The sequence below is a fragment of the Homo sapiens genome, chromosome 14 (genome assembly GCF_000001405.40).
Source record: "Homo sapiens chromosome 14, GRCh38.p14 Primary Assembly".
NCBI classification, from domain to species: domain Eukaryota; kingdom Metazoa; phylum Chordata; class Mammalia; order Primates; family Hominidae; genus Homo; species Homo sapiens.
This window is the reverse complement of record NC_000014.9, coordinates 88978898-88984275: the sequence shown is the minus strand read 5'-3', so window position 1 is coordinate 88984275 and position 5378 is coordinate 88978898. Positions and strand designations below refer to the sequence as shown.

Genomic DNA, 5378 nt, shown 5'->3' with positions numbered 1-5378 from the left:
TGGTAGCCATATTTACACAATAGAAGTTGGCAAATGCTATAAGTCAAGGGGGTTTTCCTTCAGGGAACAGGTTTGCCACCAGACCACTAGATGACTTTCCTCCTAAAGTCCAGGATCACCAGCTGCTCAGTGGACATCTCCACATACGTGACCCCCAGACACCCCAAACACAACGGGCTCCAAACAGAACTCAATTTTTTTTTCCCCACCAACACTGTTATCCACCTACAATTTCTGTTTTGATCAGTAACACCAACAGAGACCAGGAGTCAGAGAATACAGATAACAAAGGGATGAGTCATGAGTTTAGGCAGAGCAGGAGAATGCTGTCTTCTCTGCAACCAGAGGTGGGAATGACGGCATGGATGGCTGGGAGTGAGTCCATGAGTAAATGCTCTGATGCTCGAGAGCAGCAGTTCCCTCTCCCAGCAGGAAAGTAAAGCTAGAGATAATTTCACCTCTAAGGGGAACAGGGAAAGGAGCCCTCAGCAATCCCTCAAATAAAAGGCAGAAAGTGTCTGAAAAATATTCATTCATACATACAGTAGATATCTAGTCAAATCTATAATGTAAGCATTTTCTATTTTCCCCTTTGTTTTAAGACTCAAGCTGTTGAATATTTTAGCCCAGGCCAGCTGTGGTAAGGGGAGGCAGGCAGAGGTTTAGGAATCTATTTAATGTAGTTTGCAAACATACCTGAGACAGTGGGGCACAGTGCTCCCCTGGACTTGGGGGAGGGTGCAGGTTAGAAGCTGAGGATGTAGAGAAGGAGGGAAAAGCTCAAGGGGTGCAGAGCCTGCATACTCCTCCTGGACCATCGCATGAGAGAAAAGTAAACTTCTATCTTGTTGGTGTCACAAAATTCTGGGGCCTTTTTGTGATAGCGGCTTAGCCTTTACCTTAACAACTCACTCACCTACACGTTTATCTTTGTACCTTTTCTTGCTTCCTTCTCATGAGTCTCAGAGTTTTGCTGAGACTCATTACTGCCCCGTACTCTCCAGAAATTCCCCTCTTTCTGCCCCACAACTCTGCTCTAGCGAATATCTCCTTTCTCATACATCTCATATGCACTCTTTCTGCTGGCTGTGTTCCCTCCACCTGTACATGTGGCTCTCACAATCTCTTGCACTTTCAAAGAAAACCCTCTAGGACCTTAAATCTCTTCTCTTACTCTTTCTGTCTCCAGTCCTTCTCTGCCAAGATTCCCAGAAAAGTGGTTGATGATCACTGTCTCCATTTCCTCATTGCTCATTTCCTCCTTGTCCCCCAGAAACCTGGCTTTTGTTGTCACCATTCCGCTGGAATTGCTTTTGCTGGAGTTCCTCATTGCCTCCATATTTTTAAATTCAAAAGAGTATTTTTTTCAGTCTTGTCCCTGCATGTTCTCTCAGCTGTAGTAACACAGTGGGTCACACATTGTTGGGAGGGTTGCCTCCTCTGGCCTATGTTCTGGCCCCTTCCTTGGCTCTCTTCCAGTGTTTCTCCTGAAACAAGGGTGTCTGTGCTCAATAATTCTGTTCTTACCCTTCTCCCTATGCATGCTTGACTTGGACAAGCCAATGGCCCCTTGTAGGCTTGGCTATAGGATGACACACCAAATCATGCCCTCTAGTCTTTCTCCTGAACTCTGACTCATTTATCCAATTTATCCAGCTACTGACTTGACATCTTTGACATCCTGTGGGCACTTCTCATTCAACCTGTCCAAAACTGAACCTATTATCTCCCCCTTCTTGGGCTGCCTTTTCCTCTACCTCTTCTCTCTGTTGGCCAATGGCACCATCACTTGCCCAATTACTCACACTGAACTTAAGGTAGTCGTGGACCTCCCCCCTCACCTCCACCACAGCAACTCAAGAATAAATTCCTCTTCTTCTGGTTTCACAAATATCTACTAAATCCACACCCTCCTTTCCACTCTTGCTCAGGCCCATATCATCTCCCATCCAAACAATTACAGCAGGTTCCGCCTGGTCTCCCTGCCTTTAGATTTGCTCCTCTCAACACACATTTCATATTGCTGCCAAAATTGTCCTTCCAAAGTGAAAATTTGTACCAGATCACTCCCCACCTTAAATCCCTCCCATGATATCTAGGGCCAATAAAATAAATGCAAATCTCCTACCCCGGCATGACTCATCAGTCTCCACTTCAGCCTCGACACGCTGGAAACTGAGCTCCCTTTACTTGCCTCTGTCTAGAAGACTCCTCCTGTACTCACTGGGCTCACTCTTACTCCTCATTTAGACTCTGCATCATTTCCTCCAGGAACTCTTCTCTTCAGCACCAGTCTGCCTAAGTTCCCCTCCTACCTTATAAGTGCTCCCCAAATTCTCTGCACATGCCTCTATCATGCACATCCCAGAACATACTAAAAAATGGATTATATTGGTCTGTAGTGGATATTTGTTTTTTTTGTCCACTTTGCATCTGAACCCCATTCCTATGTTTGGGGTGCTCCTGCTTCTCATAAGCAATGCCTACCTCGCAGTATAGAAATGGAAAAATGTCAGACACCTTCTCTCTCAGTCCTCCTTTCAGCTAAACTGAGAGCTCTGATAGTCTCCTCCAGTCAGAGAGCAGTGCCTGGGCTAGCCCCAGAAATATGTGGCATACAGAGGCAGAGACCCTGGGGATCCCATTCTAGTGAGGGCAGCTGCAGTAGTGGCCACTGTTCCTGTGGCATATTTCAAGCATTGGTCCTGGCTGTTAAGGTTAGTTGTCCAGCCCTCCCAGATTCTGTGCCCTATTTTGCAAGCTGTCCAATGTCCTTTTTGTAGTTGTCATGCCATTTTATTGGAGCGCAATTTATAGACCATAAAATTTACCCATTGTAAGTGTACATTTCAATAAGTTTTAGTAAATGTATCCAGTTGTGCAACCATCACCCCAATCCAGTTTTAGAACTCTTCCATCACCTCAGAAAAGTTCACTCTTGCCCATTTGTTACTGATCACCATTCACACCTCTAGTCCCATGCAACAAGAATCTGCTTCCTGACTCTCTGACTTTTCTAAAAATATCATATAAATTGAATCAAACATTATGTAGTATTTTCTGTCTGGCTTTTCCCATAGTGTTTCATAATTTCTTTAAAAGTTGATTTGGTGGATGTATCCATTGTTTGTTCCTTTTTTATTGCCACATAATATTTCACTACATGGATATACCACATTTTGCTTATTCATTTGCCAGTCAAAGTCCTTTAAATAAATCCCTTTTCCGTGGTGGGGTCGGGGGAGGGGGGAGGGATAGCATTGGGAGATATACCTAATGCTAGATGACACGTTAGTGGGTGCAGCGCACCAGCATGGCACATGTATACATATGTAACTAACCTGCACAATGTGCACATGTACCCTAAAACTTAGAGTATAATAAAAAAAATAAAAATAAAAAAAATAAATCCCTTTTCCATTCAGTGTAGCCAGATCTGGGTTCTGTAGCCACCAAGATCCCTGACTATGTTCCTCCCCATTGAAATGGAACAGCAGAAGTATCTTCATGGCTTTTGGATTTATGATCCCTGACACCATTCCTGGCTCACAGTGGATATTCAGTAATTATTGCTGTGGTGTGTAGACTGCCAGTAATATCTCAAGGATGAGCTGGGCCTAGATATTACCAGCAGTCTATGCACCATAGTAATTTCATCTTTTTAGGATTTTCATCCTTTTGTTTCCAAGGAGGCAACAATCAGGGCAGATAGTTATTCATTTCTTGCATGCATAAATGCTGCCCTGCTCAAAGAAATGCCTGTTCCCATTACCTCCACTCTCCCACTCTTGCTTCTTCTATTGGGCTGAACATTTTCTCTCTGTGTGACCTAGATTCATTGGAAGCCAACAGGTAATCTATTGCCTTAGCTATACAGTTGGCCCCTTCCCCCTTTTAACTGGGATAGGAAGGTTGAGATACCCTTCTTTCCAGGGCTTGGCTAATGTATCCCATGCAATATTTATGCTCTGCACGTACCTGAACTTCCCGAGCTGTGCCCTGTTTATGCATTCATGAGGAACTGTTCAAGAGAATGTCATTTTATCAAATGGGGTTGAACTATAGCTCCACTTTATGAGGGATTACAGGCTGTTTTTTCTTTATTTGTAAATGTGCCAGCCTAAAAAATGCTGTGTTTTGTCAGAGACAGCTGATTAAACACCTTTGAGTGTCTGTCAGTGTAAACCGTAAGATCATTAATTTATGCTGTAAAAAGAATAGCTGGGGAAGTGTGACTTAGACCAGTGTGGTTCCTTTCTTCATTTGAAACAAATAACATTTATATCTTGGGAAAGAATGTTGTGAAAAATCACCCTAATGGAACTATGTTTTCCAGAGTGACATCAATGATGTCACTTTGGTCTCATCTATTTAAAGCATCAAAGTGGATATTTTAGGCTTAAACAGCAGGTGTCCTGAAATTTAAAAATTTCTAAAGTTTTTGGGATTTGGGAAGCTTTTGATCTTTTTCTTGTCTTCCTCCCTTTCTTTCCCTCCTTCTCTCCCTTATTTCCTCATCACCCACCATAGTCTCATCATTACTACACAGTTTTGAAATAATTTCTGCATTTTGTTAATATCTTTGCCTGGATTTTGAGATCAAGAGGTTGCATCTCCTGGCGGAGTTTGATGTATTTGTTTTAAATGTTGGATTTTAAAGAAGTGCTAGCTAGTGACTTTTCAAAAAAAAAATCAGGAGGAGAAAATTATCCTTCTAAGGGTGTAGGAGTTGCAGTTACTAAGTTGAACAATGTGTTTAGAAAGTGGAATGTGTTTACACCATGTTAATTATAAAAAATACCTTGTAAATCCTTATCTTTCAGTACAGAATACTAGTCTTCATACAGCACTTGTAGTGGCAGCCTTTAAATCTACTCCTATTTCCCAAAACACTTTCCTAGGATTCCACAATATAGTCTGCCCTCCATAAATAAAAATAGGGACCAGTTAATTTACATCGTAACAACTATACCACAAACAACTGCTATGCAGCACTTAGCATTTCACAAGGTTCATCACCTTGATTATTTCATTTGATCTTCAAAATAAACCTGGCTCAACGTCTGTGATCTTGTTTGGAGACCCAAGATTCAAATGGTAACGTATGGAGAATGCGGGCATCGATCCCACTACCTCTCGCATGCTAAGCGAGCGCTCTACCACTTGAGCTAATTCCCCATGTGATCCTGATGGTCATCCTATGTAGAAAACAGGAGCCTGTTTTGCAGAGGAGAAAACAGTCTCAGACATTTCTGGAAGGACTAGTACAAGATTGCTTAGAATCCATAGATAATTATGTTCATTACACAGTAATCTTGTACCTTGTGTTCAGAGCTAAGGACACAAAGACAAATTAAATGCAAACTCTGCCTTCAAGT

The 5378-nt window shown here is 42.4% G+C and overlaps 1 non-coding gene across 1 annotated transcript; it reads right to left on the bottom strand.

The window, feature by feature from the left end:
• Positions 1-5105: 5105 nt before the first annotated feature.
• Positions 5106-5178, bottom strand: TRA-AGC15-1 (tRNA-Ala (anticodon AGC) 15-1). The gene has a single exon. It is a non-coding gene; the product is annotated as a tRNA-Ala (tRNA).
• Between the last annotated feature and the right edge of the window lie 200 nt (positions 5179-5378).